A 21662-nucleotide genomic window follows, 5' to 3' on the forward strand; every position below is an offset into this window, starting at 1 on the left:
ACTCCGTCTCAAAAAAAAAAAAAAAAAAAATACAAAAAATAGCTGGGTGTGGTGGCATGCGTGTGTAATCCCAGCTACTCAGGAGGCTGAGGCAGGAGGATCATTTGAATCTGGGAGGCGGAGGTTACAGTGAGCCAAGACAGTGCCATTGCACTCCAGCATGGGTGACAGAGCAAGATTCTGTCTCAAAAAAAAAAAAGATATTGACCAGGCTAGTCTTGAACTCTTAACCTCAAGTGATCCTCCCACCTCGGCCTCCAGAGTAGCTGGGATTACAGATGTGAGTCACCATGCCCAGCATGAGCCACATAAGGTTTCTGAGCACTTACTATGGACCAAGAACTGTCTTTGGGCTTGCCCAAAGACATTCCAGGCTGACATTCCAGGCGGATGAGGACAGATGATAAACATGAAATCCAATATATATTCAACCTGCCAGCAGGGCACCAGATGAAATCCACCTGGGTGAGGATGTCATTATTTGAAGTAGAGTAGGGCGACTGGCCCCATGTTCTAATGGTCAGCCCTCTGGACTCTGAAGTAGAGTAGGGCAATCAGGGAAGCCCTCTCTGAGGAGGTGGCATTTGAGCAAAAAACTGAATGATGAGGAGGAGCCAATCATGTGGATATCCAGGGCATGTGTTGCAGGCAGAGGATACAGGATGTGCAAAGGCCCCGAGGCTGAAGCTTCCCTGGTGTGTCTGAGGAGCCCAGTATGGCTGAAGGATGGTGAACAAGGAGGAAAATGGGGAGAGGCGGGGCAGGGAGTTCACCAGGAGGATCGTGGGGGGTCTTGTAGACCACAGCAAGGATTCGATCTTTTCACCTGAGTGAGGGAACCCTGGCAGGGCTGATGTCCTTTTCTGATCTCTGAATGAGGAGGCTGGACATGGGTTATGGGTCAAGAAGCAGGAGGGAGGAGCCTTTGGTGGCCTTCTGTGTTACCATCAGTCAGAACTTTCCTGGCCGGGTGCAATGACCCACGCCTATAAGCCCAGGACTTTGGGAGGCTGAGGCAGGACGATTCCTTGAGCCAAGGAGTTCAAGATCAGCCTGGGCAACATAGTGAGACCCTGTCTCTACAAAAAAAAAAAAAAATTATTTTATTTTTTTTTTAGATAGGGGTCTTGCTTTGTTGACCAGGCTAGAGTGCAGTGGCGCAATCACAGCTCACTGCAGCCTCCACTTCCTGGGCTCAATCAATCTTCCCTTCTCAGTCTCCCTAGCAGCTGGGACTACAGCCGTGCACCACCACGCCTGGCTAATATGTCTATTTTTTGTAAAGACAGGGACTCACTCTGTCGCCCAGGCTGGAGTGCAGTGGTGTGACCCCAGCTCACTGCAATCTCTACCTCCGAGGTTCAAGCAATTCTCCTGCCTCAGCCTCTCGAGTCTCACTGCAACCTCTACCTCCGAGGTTCAAGCAATTCTCCTGCCTCAGCCTCCCGAGTAGCTGGGATTACAGGCGTGCACCACCATGCCCAGCTACTTTTTGAGTTTTAGTAGAGATGGGGTTTCACAATGCTGGCCAGGCTGCTCTCAAACTCCTGACCTCAGGTGTTCTGCCTGCCTCGGCCTCACAAAGTGCTGGAATTACAGGCGTGAGCCACCATGCCCAGCTCCCCCCAATTTTTTTTTTTTTTTTGAGACAGTCTCGGTCTGTCGCCCAGGCTGGAGTACAGTGGCACGATCTCGGCTCACTGCAACCTCTGCCTCCCGGGTTCAAGCGATTCTCCTGCCTCAGAGCCTCCCGAGTAGCTGGGACTACAGGCATGTGCCACCATGCCCAGCTAATTTTTTGTATTTTTTTTTTTAGTAAGAAGGGGTTTCACAGTGTTAGCCAGGATGATCTCAATCTCCTGATCTTGTGATCCGCCCACCTCAGCCTCCCAAAGTGCTGAGATTACAGGCGTGAGCTACCCCGTCCGGCTAATGTTTTTTTTTTTTTTTTTTTAATTAGGAGGGACTGCTGGCATGTGTCAGTAGGCTGAGGCAGGTGGATCACTTAAGCCGGGGAGGTAGAGGATATAGTGAGCCATGATCGCACCACTGCATTCCAGCCTGGGTGACAGAGGGAGACCCTGTCTGTAAAAACTTTTTTTTTTTTTTAATTTTTGAGACAGAGTCTCACTCTGTCGCCCAGGCTGAAGTGCAGTGGCCCAATCTCGGCTCACTGCAACCTTTGCCTCCCAGGCTCAAGCGATTCTCGTGCCTCAGCCTCCCGAGTAGCTGGGACTACAGGCGCCAACCACCACACCCTGCTAATTTTTGTATTTTTTAGTAGAGATGGGGTTTCACCATGTTGGCCAGGGTGGTCTTCAACTCCTGACCTCAAGTGATCCGCCCACATCGGCCTCCCAAAGTGCTGGGATTACAGCCATGAGCCACCGCGCCTGGCCCAAAAAAACTTTTAAAAAGAACTTTTTCACTGCAAAAAATAATCTTGTTGCCAGCCGAGGCCAACATGCAGCTATGACAGGGCAGTTCTCTGTCCTTCCCGGCCTCAGGCTCCTCTATCAAAGGCCCCCTTCTCTCACCTTGGCCTTGTGGCCTTGGAGTAGGGAGCTGACAACACCCCTTCTGCCCCAGGTGAATCAATGAACAAGGCTGACATTGTGAGAATACCAAGCGTCTGTCTTCTTCCCTCTTCTGGCTTAGCTCCTCACCTCCCTTGGGGTCAGGGCATCTCCTCTTTCTCCAGGAAGGGGAAGCGAAGTCTTGTGCTGAGAAGGTGACTCTGGAACTGCCACTCCCATGCCTGTGTGACTAGCTTCTGGGTGGATCTCAGGGTCTACCGTTGGGCTGGGGGTGGATGTCATCTGGCCACTGGCACCCAGACTGCAAGTAATAAAAACCTGACTCACACTGGCTCTACCAGCAAGAGGGGATTTGTTGGTTCACTGAGCTGAAGTCAGTTTACATGGCTGACTTCAGATATGGCTGGATCCAGGTGCTGAAAAATGACAGAAAGCATTTGCCTTCTCAGCTCCTCTTCTGTCTTATTCTCAGGTAGTTTCTCCCCCTCATGGAGGCAAGATTGTGCCCTGAAGCTTCAGATATATATTCTTTTTTTTTTTTTTTTTTTTTTTTTGAGACAGATTCTAGCTGTGTCACCCAGACTGGAAGGCAATGGCCCAATCTCGGCTCACTGCAACCTCCACCTTTTGGGTTCAATCGATTCTCCTGCCTCAGCGTCCCAAGTAGCTGGGATTACAGGCACGTAACACCTGGCTAATTTTTGTATTTTTAGTAGAGACGAGGTTTCACTATGTTGGCCAGGTTGATCTCGAACTCCTGACCTCAGGTGATCCACCCACCTCAGTCTCCCAAAGGGCTGGGATTACAGGCGTGAGCCACCGTGCCCAGCCATCTCTTTTTTTGTTTGTTTCTTCAGATGGGGTCTCTCTGTGTCACCCAGGCTGGAGTGCAGTAGCACGATCTCAGCTCAGTGCACCCTCCACTTCCCGGGTTCAAACTATTCTTGTGCCTCAGCCTCTGAAGTAGCTGGAATTACAGGTGTGCACCACACCTGGCTAATTATTTGTGGGGTTTTGTTGTTTTTTGTTTTGTTTGTTTCTTTTTGAGACAGAGTCTTGCTCTGTCACCCAGGCTGGAGTTCAGTGGCGCCATCTCAGCTCACTGCAACCTCCGCCTCCCGGGTTCAAGTGATTCTCCTGCCTCAGCCTCCTGAGTAAGTGGGACTACAGGCACGTGCCAGCACGCCTGGCTAATTTTTTGTATTTTTAGTAGAGACGGGGTTTCACAGTGTTAGCCAGGATGGTCTCGATCTACTGACCTAGTGATCCACCTGCCTTGGCCTCCCAAAGTGTGGGGATTACAGGCGTGAGCCACTGCGCCTGGCCAATTATTTATATTTTTAATATAGACAGAATTTCCCTGTGTTGGCTAGGCTGGTCTTGAGCCCCTGGCCTCAAGTAATCCACCTGCCTCAGCCTCCCAAAGTGTTGGGATTACAGGCATGAATCACCGCACCTGGCCTAAGATATCTATCCTATGCAATGCTAGCCAGAGGAGTAAACCTCTTTTCCCAGTGGTACCACCAAAGTCCCAGAGTTAGCTCTCATTGGCTCCACTTGGGTTACATGCTCATCCTGAACCAATCACAATAGCCAGGAGCGGGGGATAGGCTAATTGGCCAGACACAAAGTTTGCTAAGTCTCTTGGGTCCAGCTGCATTCATGTTCTTTGGTTGGGGGTTATGGGGTAAGGGCTGGCTACTCAAAGGTAACCTGGAGAGACGACACTGACCTGCCCACTCTCTTTTCTGATTTTCCTCCAGTGCCCACTTGGATCTTGGTGCTCTCCCTGAGCCTGGCTGGTGCCCTCTTCCTCCTTGCTGGGCTGGTGGCTGTTGCCCTGGTGGTCAGAAAAGGTAACAGCACGCAAAGCCTGGCACACAAGTTGCCAGTTGACAACTTCTGGAACGTGAAGATGTGCTTACACTCACAACTCACACCATTTTGTTTTCAGGTTCAGTAATTTGTTCATCACACCCCTTTTAAAAGTATTTATTTATTTATTTATTATTTTTCTTTTCAGACAGAGGCTCGCTCTGTCGCCCAGGCTGGAGTGCAGTGGCACGATCTCGGCCCACTGCAACCTCCGCCTTCGAGGTTCAAGCAATTCTCCTGCCTCAGCCTCTCAAGTAGCTGGGATTACAGGCGTGCACCACCATGCCTCGCCAATATTTGTATTTTTAGAAGAGATGTGGTTTTGCCATGTTGCCCAAGCTGGTCTGGAACTCCTGACCTCAGGTGATCCGCCCACCTCGGCCTCCCAAAGTGCTGGGATTATAGGCATGAGCCACAGTCCCCGGCCTAAAAATTTTTTATTTGGAGACTCAGTCTGTCACCCAGGCTGGAGTGCAATGGCAGGATCATAGCTCGCTGCATCCTTGACCTCCTGGGCTCAAGCAGTTCTCCTGCCTCAGCCTCCCAAGTAGCTGGGACCACAGGTGCGTGCCACCACATGCAGCTAATTATTTATTTATTTTTTTTAGGACAGGGTCTTGCTGTGTTGCCCAGGCTGGGTAACTCCTGGGCTCAAGCAATCCTCCCACCTCAGCCTCCCAAAAGTCCTGGGACCACAGGCACACACTACCACACCTGGCTAATTTTTAAAAAATATTTTTTGTTGAGATAGGGTCTTGCTATATTGCCCAGGCTGGTCTTGAACTCCTGGGTTCAAGTGATCTTCCTGCCTCAGCCTCCCAAAATGCTGGAATTACAGGCATGTGCCACCATGCCCAGCCAAATTATGTGTGTTTGTGTGTGTGTGTATGTGTGTGGGTATATATGTGTGTGTATGTATATATATATGTGTGTATATATATACATACACACACACACACATACATATATATATATATATATATATATATATTTTTTTTTTTTTTTTTTTAAGATGGAGTCTTGCCCTGTCACCCAGGCTGGAGTGCAGTGAGGCGATCTCGACTCACTTGCTCTGTTGCCAGCCTGGAGTGCAGTGGCACAATCTCGACTCAGTGCAACCTCCGCCTCCCAGGTTAAAGTGATTCTCCTGCCTCAGCCTCCCGAGTAGCTGGGACTACAGGTGCGTGCCACCACACCCAGCTAACTTTTGTATTTTTAGTGGAGACAGGGTTTCACCATGTTGTCCAGGATGGCCCAGCACTTTGGGAGGCCGAGGTGGGCAGATCGCGAGGTCAGGAGTTTGAGACCAGCCTGGGCAATATGGTGAAACCCCATCTCTAATGAAAACACAAAAATTAGCCGGGCGTGGTGGTGTGCACCTGTAGTCCCAGCTACATGGGAGGGTGAGGCAGAAGAATCGCTTGAACCTGGGAGGCAGAGGTTGCAGTGAGTCAAGATCATACCACTGCACTCCAGCCTGGGCGACAGAACGAGACTCTGTCTCAAAAAACAACAAAAAAAGAAAGAAAGAAAGAAAGAAAGAAAGAAAGAAAGAAAAATCTGAGGCCTTCCAGGCTGGGTGGGGTGGCTTGCCTGTAATCCCAGCACTTTGAAAGGCCGAGGCAAGTGGATCACTTGAGGTCAGGAGTTCGAGACCAGTCTGGCCAACATGACGAACCCTCTTCTCTACTAAAATACAAAAATAGCCTGGCCTGGTGATGCACACTTGTAATCCCAGCTACTCGAGAGGCTGAGGCAGGAGAATTGCTTAAATCCAGGAGGCAGAGGTTGCAGTGAGCCAAGATTGAGCCACTGCACTCCAGCCTGGGTGAAAGAATGAGACTCTGTCTAAAAAAAAAAAAAAAAAAAAAAAAAACAGAAATTGCCGGATACAATTAGGACCAAAATCTAACACATGCTCATTTCTTTTTTGTTCCAGTTAAACTCAGAAATTTACAGAAGAAAAGGTGAGATCATCCCTGGAGACCCACAGAGGGTGGTTTGGGGAAAGAAGGACACTTCCCTGGCAGGGTGGGCACTCCATGCCCCCCACAAACAGCGCCTCCTGGTGGGCATGCTGCGTAATAGGAACAGGAGCCATTTATTAAGTGCCTCCTGTGTGCTGGAGGACTGAGCTGGGACTCTCTGAAGCTGGAGCTCCTTATCCTTATGGCAGCCCTGGAAACAGGCACCATGAATAGCCCTATTTTACAGAAGAGAGGACTGAGGCTCAGCACTCAGTCACAGAGTGAGCAGTTTGCCCAGGGAGAGGCCCTTCCCCACACCCCTTTACCTCCAGCTGCCAGAAAACGGTCACAATCACTCTAGACACCCACAGTCAGTTTCTAAAGAATGCCCCTGGGGTTGTGCAGTGCCCAATTGCACTGTAGGTGATGGCCCAGGTTCCTGGGCACCAGGATGTCCTAACTGGCCCTGGCCTCAGTTTCTCTCCTCCGAGAGTGGGGAGACATCCTGCTGCCTGGAGATGAAAACCTGCTCTGGGGATTGAATCCCAGCTTCACCTGGCTGTGGGCCTCCTAACCAGGAGAATATATATATGTTTTTTTTTTTTTTTTTGAGATGGAGTTTCACTCTTGTTGCCCAGGCTGGAGTGCAATGGCCTGATCTCTGGCTCACCGCAACCTCTGCCTCCTGCGTTCAAGCAGTTCTCCTGCCTCAGCCTCCTGAGCAGCTGGGATTACAGGCATGTGCCACCACACCCGGCTAATTTTGTATTTTTAGTAGAGACGGGATTTCTCCATGTTGGTCCGGGTGGTCTTGAACTCCCAACCTCAGGTGATCCGCCCGCCTGTGCCTCCCAAAGTGCTGGGATTACAGGCATCAGCCACCGTGCCTGGCTTTTATATATGTGTGTGTGTGTGTGTGTGTGTGTGTGTGTGTGTATGTGTGTGTGTATATGTGTGTGTGTGTATGTATGTGTGTGTGTGTATGTATGTGTGTGTGTGTGTGTGTATATATATATATATATATATATATATATATATATATTTTTTTTTTTTTTTTTAGACGGAGTCTCACTCTGTCGCCCAGGCTGGAGTACAGTGGCGCAATCTCGGCTCACTGCAACCTCCGCCTCCTGGGTTCAAGCGATTCTCCTGCCTCAGACTCCTGAGTAGCTGGGACTACAGGCACATGCCACCACACCTGGCTAATTTTTGTATTTTTTAGTAGAGACGGGGTTTCACTGTGTTGTCCAGTCTGGTCTTGAACTCCTGACCTCAAGTGATCCACCTGCCTCAGCCTCCCAAAGTGCTGGGATTACAGGCGTGAGCCACTGCGCCTGGCCCAAGAGAATTTCCATGTTTTTTTCTTCCCCCGGCCAAGGGGCTGTCCCACAGTGTGACAGCTCCAGAAATCAGGATGTTACTGCTCTTCTGTGGGGAAGACCCATGGGTCAGTGGGTGGGGAGCAAAGGCTACATTTTGGGTGTGGTTTGGGGCCAGGGCTTTCCCGATCAAGCCTCCTGACTCAAGGGGCAACCCTGATCCCTGTCACTTTCTCCTGAATTCCTTTGCAGAGATCGAGAATCCTGCTGGGCCCAGATTAACTTCGACAGCACAGGTCTGTGCCTCCACACTCCTGACTCCAGTGGGGAAAGGATTACACCTCCAAATGCCATCAGGCCTCATCACACACCAATCAAATTTCTTCTGTGACTGCTTGTTCCCTTTAGGGTCAAAACACACCCTCGCCACCTCTTCCCCTGGGTTCTCACCTTCTCTCCTTTGACTTAACCTAAAGGTCACCTCCTCTGGGAAGCCTTCCCTGACTCCCTAGACAGGGTCTGTGCCTGCTACTTACAGGACCCCAGGTCCGACCATTCTTCTTACCCCTCGGTAGAAATACAATTAGGCGGCCAGGCGCGGTGACTCACAACTGTCATCCCAGCACTTTAGGAGGCTGAGGCAGGCAGATCACGAGGTCAGGAATTCGAGATCAGCCTGGCCAACATAGTGAAACCCCGTCTCTACTAAAAATACAAAAAAATTAGCAGGGTGTGGTGGCGGACACCTGTAATCCCAGCTACTTGGGAGGCTGAGGCAAGGAGAATCATGTGAACCTGGGAGGCGGAGGTTGCAGTCAGCTGAGATTGCGCCACTGCACTCTAGCCTGGGCAACAGAGCCAGACTCCATCTCAAAAAAAAAAAAAAAAAAAAAAAAAGGCCAGGCGTGGTGGCTCACGCCTGTAATCCCAGCACTTTGGGAGGCCGAGGTGGGCGGATCACGAGGTCAGGAGATCGAGACCATCCTGGCTAAAACAGTGAAACCCCATCTCTACTAAAAATACAAAAAATTAGGTGGGCGTGGTGGCGGGTGCCTGTAGTCCCAGCTGCTCAGGAGGCTGAGGCAGGAGAATGGCGTGAACCCAGGAGGCAGAGCTTGCAGTGAGCCCAGATCGCGCCACTGTACTCCAGCCTGGGCGACAGAGCGAGACTCCATCTCAAAAAAAAAAAAAAAAAGAAAGGGCCAGGCACGGTGGCTCACGCCTGTAATCCCAGCACTTTGGGAGGCCAAGGCAGGTGGATCACGAGGTCAGGAGATCGAGACCATCCTGGCCAACATGGTGAAACCCTGTCTCTACTGAAAATACAAAAATTAGCTGGGCATGGTGGCGTGTTCCTGTAGTCCCAGCTACTTGGGAGGCTGAGACAGGAGAATCACTTGAACCCAGGAGGCAGAGGTTGCAGTGAGCCAAGATTGCGCCACTGCACTCCAGCCTGGTGACAGAGTGAGACTCCATCTCAAAAAAGGAAGAAAGAAACAAAAATGAAACAATTAAGTGATCATTGGGTGCTTGCATATTTCATACTCATTTCCTCTGCTGAACGGCCAGCTCCATGGGGAAAGGACCATGTCTATCTCCGGGACTCCAGGGCCACACTTGCCTTCCAGAACATGCCATTCTGCCAGCTTCCCCAAGGGGGCGAAAGGCAGCCAGTCTGTCATGCAGGATATTCTCTTGAAGGCACCCCAAGCAGAGAAATGTATTCTCTGTACTTCATTCCTGGTCCAACACACACACTTATTGAGCACTTACTATGTGCTAAGATCTGAGAGGGTCCTTTCGTAACCAAGACAGATGTGCTGTCTGTCCACAAGCCCATTCTCCAATGGGAAACAGCCCGTGATGGCACCAGACTGTGTCTGGGACAAGGCAGGTGGTCCCCTGAGGAAGTGATGTTTTTCTTTTTTTTTTTGAGATGGAGTCTCATTGTGTCGCCCAGGTTGGAGTGCAGTGGCACGATCTCAGCTTACTGCAACCTCTGCCTCCCGGGTTCAAGTGATTCTCCTGCCCCAGCCTCCCGAGTAGCTGGGATTACAGGCACGTGCCACCATGCCCGGCTAATTTTTGTATTTTTAGTAGAGGTAGGGTTTCACCATGTTGGCCTGGCTGGTCTCGAACTCATGACCTCAGGTGATCCACCCACCTCAGCCTCCCAAAGTGCTGAGATTACAGGCAATTACAGGCGTGAGCCACCGCCCTTTTGTTGTTGTTGTTTTTTGTTTGTTTTTGTTTTGAGGCGGAGTCTCACTCTGTCGCCCAGGCTGGAGTGCGGTGACGCGATCTGGGCTCACTGCAAGCTCTGCCTCCTGGGTTCAAGCCATTCTCCTGCCTCAGCCTCCTGAGTAGCTGGGACTACAGGCGCCCGCCACCACACCCGGCTAATTTTTTGTATTTTTTTAGTAGAGATGGGATTTCACCATGTTAGCCAGGATGGTCTCGATCTCCTGACCTCGTGATCTGCCCGCCTCAGCCTCCTAAAGTGCTGGGATTACAGGCATGAGCCACCGCGCCCAGCCTGTTTTTTTTTTTTTTTTTTTTTGAGACAGAGTCTTGCTCTGTCACCCAGACAGGAACGCAGTGGCGCAATCATAGCTCACTGCAGCCTCGACCTCCTAGGCTGAAGTGATCCTCCCCTCTCAGCCTCCTGAGTAGCTGGGACCACAGGCATACACCACCACACTCAGCTACTTTTTAAATTTTTTTTTCTAGAGACAAAAAATTATGTTGCCCAGGCTGGTCTTGAACTCCTGGGCTCAAGTGATCCTCCCTCCTTGGCCTTCCAAAGCGTTGGGATTACAGCCGTGAGCCACCTCACCTGGCTAGAAGTGATGTTTAAGCAGAGACCTACAAGAATGGGTAATGGAGGCCGGGTGTGGTGGCTCACACCTGTAATCCCAGCATTTTGGGAGGCCGAGGCAGGCAGATCTCTTGGGGCAAGGAGTTCAAGACCAACCTGGCCAACATGGTGAATCCCTATCTCTACTAAGAATATGAAAATTAGCTAGGTGTAGTGGTGCATGCCTGTAATCCCAGCTATTAGGAGGCTGAGGCAGGACAATCACTTGAACCCAGGAGGCGGAAGTTGCATTGAGCCGAGATCCTGTCATTGCACTCCAGCCTGGGCAACAGAGTGAGACTCCTTCTCAAAAACAAGAAAAAAAAAATGGGTGATGGAGCAATTGGAGGAGAGCCTGGGGAGGAGGAGGAGCTGGCAGGTGCTCCTTCTGGAAGGCCTGAGATAAGACACCCATTTTCCTGAGGGCAGTGAGAGATACCCCTAGGAAGACTGTGTGTAGAAGGACTTGGTTCACTTTGTAGCTGTGAACAGTTCACCGTGCAGAATGGGTTGGAAAGGCGCCATAGAGGATGCTGGGAGATGGACCCCAATTGCTTCCCTGTGGGCTGGGGGGCAGTGCGGGGATGGCAGGGAGCAGGGAAGTTACAACTGGCCCCCAATCCTGGGTTTTCTTTCTCTTTCTGTTTCAGACATGTCCTTCGATAACTCCCTGTTTACCGTCTCCGCGGTGAGTGGTTCTTTTTCTTGGAACCGGTTTTCTGCTGACCGTCCTACCGGGAGAACGGGGCGGGCTCAAGGGGCACCACGAGGCTAAGTTGACCTGCTGTCTCTAAGCTGCGGGGGGGCTAGGAAAAGCCCAGAATCACTGAACAGGGACTCAGTAGTGAGCCGAGAGTTGGCTGTGAAAAAATCCCAGGGGGTGTGTTAATTGAAGGTGGTGACGTCAGGCTGTCTTGTGGCCACAGGCAGGCAGGCCCCTTGGTGGTATGTCCTGGCCTGGTCAGTGCTGCCTTTGGTCTCAGTCATGACAGCCCCTCAGAATGGTGACAGAGGATTCAGGGTGACCTGGTGGCCTCTCATAGAGGCTTGTGACAATCTGTGTCACAATCTGTGACAGGCTGTGGTCGGTCCCCTCTGGGTATAAAGAAAAGCATGAAGTTGCTGGGTGCGGTGACTCACGTCTGTAATCCCAGCACTTTGGAAGGCCGAGGCGGGTGTGGGTCAGGAGTTTGAGACCAGCCTGACCAATATGGTGAAACCTCATCTCTGCTAAATACAAAAAATTAGCTGGGCGTGGTGGTGCATGCTTGTAATCTCAGCTACTTGGGAGGCTGAGACAGGAGAATCACTTGGACCCAGGAGGTGGAGGTAGCAGTGAGCCAAGATTGAGGCATTGCACTCCAGCCTGGGCCACAAGAGCAAAACTCCATCTAAAACAAACAAACAGATAAAAATGAAAAAGTACAAATGCCAAGGCTACCCCAAAATGTAGCTGTGCAGAGAGTCCCATAGACCCAGGTTTAAATCCCAGCCCTGACACTGTGTGACAATGGGGAACAATATCCCCCAAAAGCAGAGGGAGGGATTTGTTTTTTTTCAAGACAGAGTCTAGCTCTGTCGCCCAGGCTGGAGCACAGTGGTGTGATCTCGGCTCACACAACTTCCGACTCCCGGGTTCAAGCAATTCTCATGCCTCAGCCTCCCGGGCAGCTGGGATTACAGGCACATGCTACCACACCCAGCTGATTTTTGTATTTTTAGTAGAGACGGGGGTTTCACCATGCTGGCCAGGCTGGTCTCAAACTCCTGACCTCAGGTGATCCACTGGGATTACAGGTGTGAGCCACCATGCTGGCTGGCTGCGGAAGCTGCTTTAGACAGGAGATCAGGAAAGTCTGAGATGGGTGACAAGCAGGAGGTGGGGAAGATTGGGGATGATTGATCCAGGCTGAGGACACATTTTTGGCACAGCCCAGTAAGCTGGGGTGGAGTGAGGAGTCGAAGGGGACCCCATGAAGAACTTTGATTTTACTGCTATTGAGCTGGGATCCCGGAAGGGTTCCTAGTATAGGAGGGAGGGGACCGGATTCAGGTGCACACAGGCGCCCTCTGGTGGCTTCTGCAGGAGGACAGATTTGGGGAAAGCGGGGATCAGTGGAAGGCAGGAGCCTGGAGACTGAAGAGCTGGGCCAAGCGTGCACCAAAGGGTGGGTGGTTTGGTCCAAAATGTTGGCAGTGGAGTTCGAAGAAGTGATCAGATGCAGGTTAGGGGAGATATAGGGGAGAGAAAACACAGAGCTGATTTTTGATGAGGGGGCCAAGGGAGAAGAGGGAGGCCAAGGAGGGTGAGGCTTGGAGGGTCAGGAGTGTGGAGTCAGCCACCTCAACCCATGGCGCCTGGGAGCAGATGGAGAGGGGAGTCTACAGTTCAGGAGAGAGGTCAGTTCTAGAGATAGACTAGGAGTGCCTGGGATACAGATGGTAGGAAGGAAGGGGGCTTGGCACGGGCCTGTGCAGCCCTCTGAGGTCTCTGCTTCCAGAATAAATCCTGAGGCCATAAGAAAAACCCGGCAGGCAGGGCTCAATCTAAACGTTTCCATGAGAATCCACACCGCACAGAACACCAGCCTGGTGATGCCCCCTCTCCCCACTTTTTGAGGTAGTTTTTATTTATTTTTGTTTGTTTTTTGAGATGGAGTCTTGCTCTGTCACCCAGGCTGGAGTGCAGTGGCTTGATCTCACTGCAACCTCCACCTCCTGGATTCAAGCGATTCTCCTGCCTCAGCTTCCCGAGTAGCTGGGATTACAGGCGCCTGCCATCGCGCCCGGCTAATTTTTGTATTTTTAGTAGAGACGGGTTTTCATCATGTTGGCCAGGCTGGTCTCCAACAACCGACCTCAGGTGATCCGCCCGCCTTGGCCTCCCAAAGTGCTGGGATTACAGGCATGAGCCACCATGCCCGGCCTTTTATTTGTTTTTTTACTTTTTTTTTCTTAAATTAAGGACCAGGCGTGGTGGCTCATGCCTGTAATCCCATCACTTTAAGAGGCCGAGGTGGGAAGATTGCTTGAGCCTGGGAGGTTGAGTCTGCAGTGAGCTATGATTGCATCACTGCACTCCAGCCTGGGTGACAGAGCAAGACTTTGTCTCAAACAAACAAAAAATTTCCGTATGAAAAGCATTCACATGTCAAAATATACAATAAAGTTTTCTTACTAAGCCATGCCTCTTCATCCATTGGTATTCCTTTCTGCAGACATACAGGTAACCACTGTTAGCAGCTGCACGTGGCAAATACACGCAGAAGTGGATCTGTACCTTCACCCACCACCCCCGCCAATTTTTTTTTGAGACAGGGTCTTGCTCTGTCTCCCACGCTGGAGTGCAGGGGCACCATCATAGCTCACTGCAGCCTTGATCACCTGGGCTCAAAAGATCCTCCAGCCTCAGCCTCCCGAGTAGCTGGGACCACAGACTTCCACCACCATGCCCAGCTAGTTTATTTTTATATATATATTTATTTATTTATTTTTCTTCCTTTTTATTTTTAAATTTTATTTTATTAATTTTTTGAGATGGAGTTTTGCTCTTTCGCCCAGGCTGGAGTAAAGGGATGTCATGATCTTGGCTCACTGCAACCTCCCCCCCTGGGTTCAAGTGATTCTCCTGCCTCAGCCTCCCAAGTAGCTGGGATTATAGGTGCCTGCCACCATGCCTGGCTAATTTTTTTTTTTTTTTGAGACGGACTCTCGCTCTGTCACCAGGCTGGAGTGCAGTGGTGCCATCTTGGCTCACTGCAACCTCAACCTCCCAGGTTCAAGCGATTCTCCTGCCGAGTAGCTGGGATTACAGGCGAGCGCCAGCATGCCCAGCTAATTTTTTTTTTTTTTTTTTTTGTATTTTTAGTAGAAGCGGAGTTTCTCCATGTTTGTCAGGCTAGTCTCGAACTCCTGACCTCAAATGATCCACCTGCCTCAGCCTCCCAAAGTGCTGGGATTACAGGCGTGAGCCACCAGGCCCGGCCTTTTTTTTAAGATACAGTTTCACTTTGTTGCCTAGTCTGGAGTGCAGTGGTACGATCTTGGCTTGCTGCACCCAGGTTCAAGCAATTCTCATGTCTCAGCTTCCCGAGTAGCTTGGATTACAGGCACATGCCACCGCGGCTGGCTAAAGTTTTTTTTTTTGGAGACGGAGTTTCGCAATTATCGTCCAGGCTGGAGTGCAGTGGTGCCATCTGCAGCCTCCACTTCTGGGGTTGAAGCGATTCTCCCACCTCAGCCTCCCAAGTAGCTGGGACTGTAGGTGCCTGATACCACACCTAGCTAATGTTTGTATTTTTAGTAGATACAGGGTTTCACCATGTTGGCCTGGCTCGTCTTGAACTCCTGACCTCAGGTGATCCACCCACCTCAACCTCCCAAAGTGTTGGGATTATAAGCATGAGCCACTGCACCCAGCCTAATTTTTGTATAATTTTTGTATATTTTTAGTAGAGACAAGGTTTCACCAAGTTGGCCAGGCTGGTCTCAGACTCCTGACCTCAAGTGATCTGCCCGCCTCGGCCTCCCAAAGTGCTGGGGTTACAGGCATGAGCCACCGTGCCCGGCCCAGAAATTTCTCATCCTCCCAAACTTGTCTCCGTGCAACACCCACTCCCCGTTGTCCCTCCCCCAGCCCCTGGCACCCACCATTCTCCTGTCTCTGTGGATTTGCCTCTTCTGGACATCTCATGGATATGAGATCACATGATATTTTTCCTTTTGTGACTGGCCTGTTTCGCTGAGCTTGATGTCCTCAAGGTTCATTCATGCCATACGTAGCCTGTGTCAGAATGTCCTTCATGGCAGGCACGGTAGCACATGCCTATAATGCCAGCACTTTGGGAGGCCAAGGCGGGCAGATCACCTGAGGTTGGGAATTCGAGACTAGCCTGACCAACACGGAGAAACCCCATCTCTACTAAAACTACAAAAAAAAAAAAAAAAAATTAGCCGGGCATGGTGGCACATGCCTGTAATACCAGCTACTCGGGAGGCTTAGGCAGGAGAATCACTTGAACCCAGGAGGCGGAGTTGCTGTGAGCTGAGATCACGCCATTGCATTCCAGCCTGGGCAACAAGAGCGAAACTCCATCTCAGAAAAAAAAAAGGAAGAACATTCTTTTTTTTTTTTTTTTTTTTTTTTTTTTTGAGACAGTGTCTCACTCTGTCGCCCAGACTGCAGTGCAGTGGTGTGATCTCGGCTCACTGCCACCTCTGCCTCCCAGCCTCCAGCGATTCTCCTGCCTCAGCTTCCCAAGTAGCTGGGATTACAGGCGCCTGCCACCATGCCCGGCTAATTTTTGTAGTTTTAGTAGAGATGGGGTTTCACCATGTTGGCCAGGCTGGTCTTGAACTCCTGACCTCAGGTGATCCGCCCGCCTCGACCTCCCAAAGTGCTGGGATTACAGGTGTGAGCCACCGTGCCCAGCCTGTTCTTCCTTTTTAAGGCTGAATCATATTGTGTTGTATGGATACACCAAGTTTTGTTGATCCATTCAATTGTTGATGGACACTTGGGTTGTTTCCACCTTTTGGCTGTTGTGCAGAACCGTGCCATGACCATGGGTATGCAAATTTCTTTTGGAGTCTCTGCTTTCACTTCTAGTTTCCTTTTGAAGCCTTATACTGCTTTGTCGTTGGCTGAAATGGTAAGGCAGCAGCTGACCTGTCTCTAGCTTTCCCCATTACCTTGCTGAGTGTCTGATATGCAACTTTGTAACACCCTTTCAGGTGGGATCGATTATTTTCTTTTTACGAACAAGGACACTGAGGCTGATAATGGGCCTAGGGTCACCCAGCTTGGGAGGGACAGGACTGTGGGTGGAACCCCCAGCCTGCTGTCAACTGAGTGGCTTTAGTTCTAGCAAATTCATCTCTCTTTAACTAGGATCAGGGTCAGGAGCCTCCAAGGCAGAGGAGGAGGTAGACTTTTGAGGAATGTTTTGCCCATGGGCAAATGGGAGGGGAGGAGGAGATAATACTATTTATTTTTTATTTATTTATTTTTTTGAGACCAAGTCTCACTTTGTTCCCCAGGCTGGAGAGGAGTGGCAGGATCTCAGCTCACTGCAACCTTCACCTCCTGGGTTCAGGTGATTCTCCTGCCTCAGCCTCCCGAGTAGCTGGGATTACAGGCGTGCACCACCACACCTAATTTTTGTATTTTTCTGAGAGGGTTTCACCATGTTGGCCAGGCTGGTCTCGAACTCCTGACCTGAGGTGATCCACCCACCTCGGTCTCCCAAAGTGCTGGGATTACAGGCGTGAGCCACTGGGCCCAACAGAGGAGATAATATGAATGGTTGTGTTCACTTAGCAAAGAAGAGCTTACGATGTGCCATTTGCTTTATCAGTTTTACTCTTTTAAGCCTCATAGCAGCCCTAGGAAGTGGTGGGTACTAGCATTCTGCCCGTTTTGCAGAAGGGGAAACTGAGGTATAGAGGGGTGAAGCCACACAACTGAGGTTACACTGCTATAAAGTGAAGGAACTGGTGTTTGAATCCATGCTCTCTGGTCCCCAGTTTAGCAGAGAGGAAGGCAGGAGAAGGGAAGACCAGGACAGGTGGGTGTGGGTGGGGGCGGGATGAGAGGAGACCTGCTGGGCTGGCAGAGTCTCAGGCTCAGAACATGGAGAAACCCTAGATCCTGAAACCCCAAATCACCCACTTCTGTGTTTCTTCTTACATGGACAAAGAAAACGATGCCAGAAGAAGACCCGGCCACCTTGGATGATCACTCAGGCACCACTGCCACCCCCAGCAACTCCAGGACCCGGAAGAGGCCCACTTCCACGTCCTCCTCGCCTGAGACCCCCGAATTCAGCACTTTCCGGGCCTGCCAGTGAGGCTGAGGACTGGGGGACCCCTCTGTCTCCAGGCATTCGGGGGCCTGAGGTCCCTCCAGCTACTTCTGGGGGGGCTCTGTCAGCCACTTTCTCAGGGAATTGGACAGAGGAAAGGAAGGGGAACCCTGGCCTTGGGATTTTCATCACAGAGGAGTGGGAGAGGGGACACAGGCATGGGCCTGGCACTATACAGACAACAGGAAGTTCCCCTCTCGACCTTCGGCTCCTCAGGACCACCAGAGAAGGAGATGTCAGGACCCCTTCTTGTCCCCCAGCTGGGCCATAAGACGTCCCAGGTCTCTGCACACCCGTGGAATTCCTCCCTTCCCCAGTGGGTTTTTGAGCATAGGGTGCCCTTGGGTGTGTTGTGTGTCTGCCTGCTGGCTTGCTTAAGTTATTAATTATAACACGGGTCAAGGTGTTCCCAGGCCTCTATGGAGTGGAATCCTTCAAGCTGGGGACCTCTGGATCCCATGGTTGGATGGCTGGGGGGTGGAGCGTGTCTGAATTCACCAAATTTGAAGCATCTCTCAAGGGCAGTCAGGGTGGTGTATGCGGAGCCTCCTGGGGGTGTGGGGAGTGCAGCAGTGCCATGCCAGGGTCTCTGCAACGGTACTTGCATTAGAGGGTTTAGGAGGTGGAATGACAGGGGCTACGGGTGAGGGACATGAAGGAGAATGAGGGCCCCTCGCAGTGGCTCACACCTATAATCCCAGCACTTTGGGAGGCCGAGGCAGGGGGTTGCTTGAGCCCAGGAGGTTGAGGCTGCAGTAAGCTATGATGGCACCACTGCACTCTAGCCTGGGCAACACAGTGAGACCCTGTCTCAAAAAACAAAAGGGGCCGGGCGCGGTGGCTCATGCCTGTAGGCCCAGCACTTTGGGATGCCGAGGCGGGCGGATCACCTGAAGTCAGGAGTTCAAGACCAGCCTGACCAACATGGTGAAACCTCGTCTCTACTAAAAATAAAAAATTAGCTGGGCGTGGTAGAGCATGCCTGTAGTCCCAGCTACTCGGGAGGCTGAGGCAGGAGAATCACTTGAACCCGGGAGGCGGAGGTTGCGGTGAGCTGAGATCGAGCCATTGCACTCCAGCCTGGGAGACAGAGCGAGACTCCGTCTCAAAGAAAAAAAAAAAAAAAAAAAAGGAATGAGGCGTAAATGAGGTCTAGGGAAGAGTTAAAGCTGGAGTGCTAGGAAGTGGCCCAAGCTCACTGGGTCGCCCAAAAGAGATGGGGCCACCCAAAATGAAGGGGGATGCAGAGAGAAGACGGGTTTGTGTGGCGGGAGAGGGGCCCTGCGCCGGGCCAGGCTGGACTCAGCATCGTTGGAGGAGGGGCTGAGAGAGGAGGGGGTCAAAGGATATCTTGTGCGAAAGGAGACAGTCAAACATTAAGGATTAAGAAGGCAATGTGGGCAGAGATGATGGGGAAGGGAGGAGGAGCGGTCGAATGTCGGGGAGGGGTCCTTTCAACCGGGCTCAGGTTGCTCCTGGAGGCCAGGGCTCATCGGAAATCGTCGGTGCGGGGGCGGTGGGGGGAAGGGTTGGGGGCGAGGCCCGGGCGCTGGCCACGCCCTTTCCCCCGCCCATTCCCCAGAGCGGGGCGGCTGACAAAGCGAGTCCGGGTGGGAGGGCGCGGGCAGGCACGGGGGCGGGGCCTCGTCGCGGCTGGGCCACGCCTCCCTGAGGGCTGCCTCACAAAGCCGGGCGGGCCCGGGGGGGTGGGGCCCAGTCTCAGGGGCGTGTCCAGGTCGGGGCAGGGAAGCCGCATCACGACGCGCGGCTGCTTGTGTGGGGCGGGGTACAGGGCGTGTCCACGCGGCCGAGCACCGCCCCCGCCGTCCCCGCACCGCCTCACTCGAAAGCAGCCGTTAATGAGGCGCCGGCCTGGGGGCGGGGCCCAGGCCTCCGAGGGGCGTGCCCGCGCGCCCGAGCACCGCCCCCGACGTACCCTCCCGCCCCGCAGTTCCCGGGCGGTGGAGCCACCTCACAAAGCGGCGACCGTTCTCGCGGGGCGGGGCGTAGCCGGTCCCGCCCCACGGGGTGCCCTCTCGTTCGCTCGCTAGCTCCCCGCGCCCAGGACGGCCGGCAGAGGGCGCTGCGCCACGGGGCCGGGCCGCGGCGACGGTGGCGGCGGCGGCGGCGAGGCGGCGCGTGGCCGGCAGGCGGCGCTGCCCGGCTCGGCCTCGGCCTGCACGGCGGCTGCGGCGGCGGTAGCGGCAGCGGCGGCGGCGGCGGCGGCGGCGGCGGCGGCGGCGGCGGCGGCGGCGGCAGCGGCGGCGGCCTGGGCCCGGGCGCAGCGGCGGCGGCGGCGGGGCCTGGAGCCGGATCTAAGATGGCAGCGGCGGCGGCGGCGGTGGGGCCGGGCGCGGGCGGCGCGGGGTCGGCGGTCCCGGGCGGCGCGGGGCCCTGCGCTACCGTGTCGGTGTTCCCCGGCGCCCGCCTCCTCACCATCGGCGACGCGAACGGCGAGATCCAGCGGCACGCGGAGCAGCAGGCGCTGCGCCTCGAGGTGCGCGCCGGCCCGGACTCGGCGGGCATCGCCCTCTACAGCCGTGAGTACGGGGCCCCGGGGCAGGCGCAGGGCCGGGGCTGCTCACGAGGCCGGCCCGGGGCGGGGGCCGGCGGGGAGGGGCCCTGAGCGCGGGGGCCTGGCGTGGGGTCCCCGGGACTGAGCCGGTGGCCTGCAGGGAGCGACCGTGGAGGGCCGGTGCCAGGGGACAGACAGAGAAAAGAGGGCGTGCGTGGTGGCCGGAGGGGCAAGGTGCCCAGAGTGAGCAAGGGAGCGCGAAATGGGGAGTGAAGGGCCTGAGATTTGGGAGGGGTGGGTGAGCAGGAAGTGGGGGGCTCTGAGTGGAAGGGGAATTTGGAGGACGCCAGGCGTGGTGGGCTTAAGCGTGGGGGAGGGAGGTCCGGGGTGCGGGAGAGGTGGGCGTCTCGGGGGCGGGCGTGGCCGCCTCTGCAGGGAGGAGGGTGGGGCGTGGGCGGCCCGGGATCCCTCTGGGGACCCCCTGGATAGCTCAGGACGGTTGGAAAGTGTTTGCTGGTCTGGGGCGCCCGCGAGTACCGAGTTCCACCGCTGTGCGAGGTGTGGCGTTCAGGACCCCCGAATGGGAAACTTCAGGATCTGGGGAGAGGGCCCATGCGGGGACGGTGGGAGCCGCAGGGTGAGCTCCTCGTGGAAACGTGGACGGGACGGGCCCCTTCCTGATGCCGGGCTTCGAAGTAAGAGCTAACAGCCTCCTCCCATCTTCTTTTGGGGGATGTGAGAAGCTGGTTACATTTTCCGAAGCTGCTTTCAAAACTGACATTTCACTGGGGGGAAAAGAAAATCACAAATGCGTTTGCCAGCACCCCCCACCCCCGCTCCCAGTCTTTGTAGTTCATTCTTCTTCTTGTTACTCCTTCTTATCTCTTCTCTTTGATTCCTTGTTCACATTTTGCTACTCTGTGTCATTTGGCTTTGTCTTTCAGGGCTTCTTGCACTGATGCCCTGGGGAACCCCTCAGGAGGCCTCTAGCTAGCTTGGGTCCTGTGTGAATTTTTTGCCACTTTGGAAACGGCCCGATTAAAGGAAAGCCCGAGGAGCAGTCCGTTCACACTGGGTTTTCCCTGCACCTCGACTTTGAAAACGTGGACTAAAGGAGTTGTGTCTGCTGTCCGAGGGTGCCGTCTCTTTTTGCTGGTGCAGAGCCTGGGTCTTCTTGGACCAGATGAGAGGGGAAGGAGGGTATTTCAGCGGGGGTTTCAGAGTTCAAGGCAGACACTCAGCTCAACAGAACCCCAGATCATAAGCAAAACCTATTCACTGGGCAAGCATTGGTAGCCAACTTTGTCCTGAACAGAACAAAGCGGGGCAGCGTTTCCAAAACTAGGGTCCCAGGGCTTATCCTCAAAGGAGTTCCAGGAGAGTTGGCTATCATTTTTAAGTAAACCTTTAAAAAATTTTTTTAGGACCAGGCGGGGTAGCTCAGCACTTTGGGAGGCTAAGCACTTTGGGAGGATCACTTGAGGTCAGGAGTTCGAGACCAGCCTGGCCAACATGGTGAAACCCCGTCTCTACTAAAAATACAAAACAGCGGGGTGTGGTGACATGTGCCTGTCCCAGCTACTCGGGAGGCAGAGGCAGGAGAATCACTTGAACCTGGGAGGCAGAGGTTGCAATGAGCTGAGATCGTGCCATTGCACTCCAGCCGGGGAGACAGAGTGAGACTCCATCTCAAAAAAAAAATTTTTTTTAGAACAATTTTAGTTTAGTT

The 21662-nt window shown here is 53.1% G+C and overlaps 2 protein-coding genes across 8 annotated transcripts in view, besides 6 other annotated features; both read left to right on the plus strand.

Annotated features, from left to right (window-relative positions):
- C19orf38 (chromosome 19 open reading frame 38) overlaps nt 1-17826 on the plus strand; it is a 33106-nt gene extending 15280 nt beyond the window's left edge. For all 4 annotated transcript variants that reach the window (XM_005259846.6, XM_005259847.6, XM_047438562.1 and 1 more), the window contains 5 exons: nt 4301-4393; nt 6352-6379; nt 7951-7994; nt 11206-11243; nt 17254-17826. In XM_005259846.6, coding sequence (XP_005259903.1) covers nt 4301-4393; nt 6352-6379; nt 7951-7994; nt 11206-11243; nt 17254-17403 — 353 coding nt within the window. In that variant the 3' untranslated portion in view covers nt 17404-17826. The remainder of the gene's footprint in view (nt 1-4300; nt 4394-6351; nt 6380-7950; nt 7995-11205; nt 11244-17253) is intronic.
- Nucleotides 10889-11737: an enhancer, noted in NCBI's record as "H3K4me1 hESC enhancer chr19:10973529-10974377 (GRCh37/hg19 assembly coordinates)". NCBI's record gives its function as "activates a minimal SCP1, AML or CMV promoter by ChIP-STARR-seq in primed H9 embryonic stem cells {active_cell/tissue: H9 hESC(primed)}" and the evidence as "EXISTENCE:reporter gene assay evidence [ECO:0000049][PMID:30033119]".
- Nucleotides 12614-12733: an enhancer, noted in NCBI's record as "active region_13995". NCBI's record gives its function as "activates an Ori minimal core promoter by ATAC-STARR-seq in GM12878 lymphoblastoid cells {active_cell/tissue: GM12878}" and the evidence as "EXISTENCE:reporter gene assay evidence [ECO:0000049][PMID:35858748]".
- Nucleotides 18849-19638: a silencer, noted in NCBI's record as "silent region_10092". NCBI's record gives its function as "represses an Ori minimal core promoter by ATAC-STARR-seq in GM12878 lymphoblastoid cells {active_cell/tissue: GM12878}" and the evidence as "EXISTENCE:reporter gene assay evidence [ECO:0000049][PMID:35858748]".
- Nucleotides 19589-21662, plus strand: part of CARM1 (coactivator associated arginine methyltransferase 1) — a 51523-nt gene continuing 49449 nt past the window's right edge. For 2 of the 4 annotated variants that reach the window (NM_199141.2, NM_001370088.1), the window contains exon 1: nt 19589-19958. In NM_199141.2, coding sequence (NP_954592.1) covers nt 19739-19958 — 220 coding nt within the window. In that variant the 5' untranslated portion in view covers nt 19589-19738. Of the gene's footprint in view, nt 19959-20464; nt 20629-21662 lie in introns of those variants that run through there. The other 2 variants (XM_047438058.1, NM_001370089.1) reach the window with 1 other exon arrangement.
- Nucleotides 19769-19818: a silencer, noted in NCBI's record as "silent region_10093". NCBI's record gives its function as "represses an Ori minimal core promoter by ATAC-STARR-seq in GM12878 lymphoblastoid cells {active_cell/tissue: GM12878}" and the evidence as "EXISTENCE:reporter gene assay evidence [ECO:0000049][PMID:35858748]".
- Nucleotides 19909-20118: a silencer, noted in NCBI's record as "silent region_10094". NCBI's record gives its function as "represses an Ori minimal core promoter by ATAC-STARR-seq in GM12878 lymphoblastoid cells {active_cell/tissue: GM12878}" and the evidence as "EXISTENCE:reporter gene assay evidence [ECO:0000049][PMID:35858748]".
- Nucleotides 20859-21038: an enhancer, noted in NCBI's record as "active region_13996". NCBI's record gives its function as "activates an Ori minimal core promoter by ATAC-STARR-seq in GM12878 lymphoblastoid cells {active_cell/tissue: GM12878}" and the evidence as "EXISTENCE:reporter gene assay evidence [ECO:0000049][PMID:35858748]".

This window comes from Homo sapiens, chromosome 19 (genome assembly GCF_000001405.40).
Source record: "Homo sapiens chromosome 19, GRCh38.p14 Primary Assembly".
NCBI classification, from domain to species: Eukaryota; Metazoa; Chordata; class Mammalia; order Primates; family Hominidae; genus Homo; species Homo sapiens.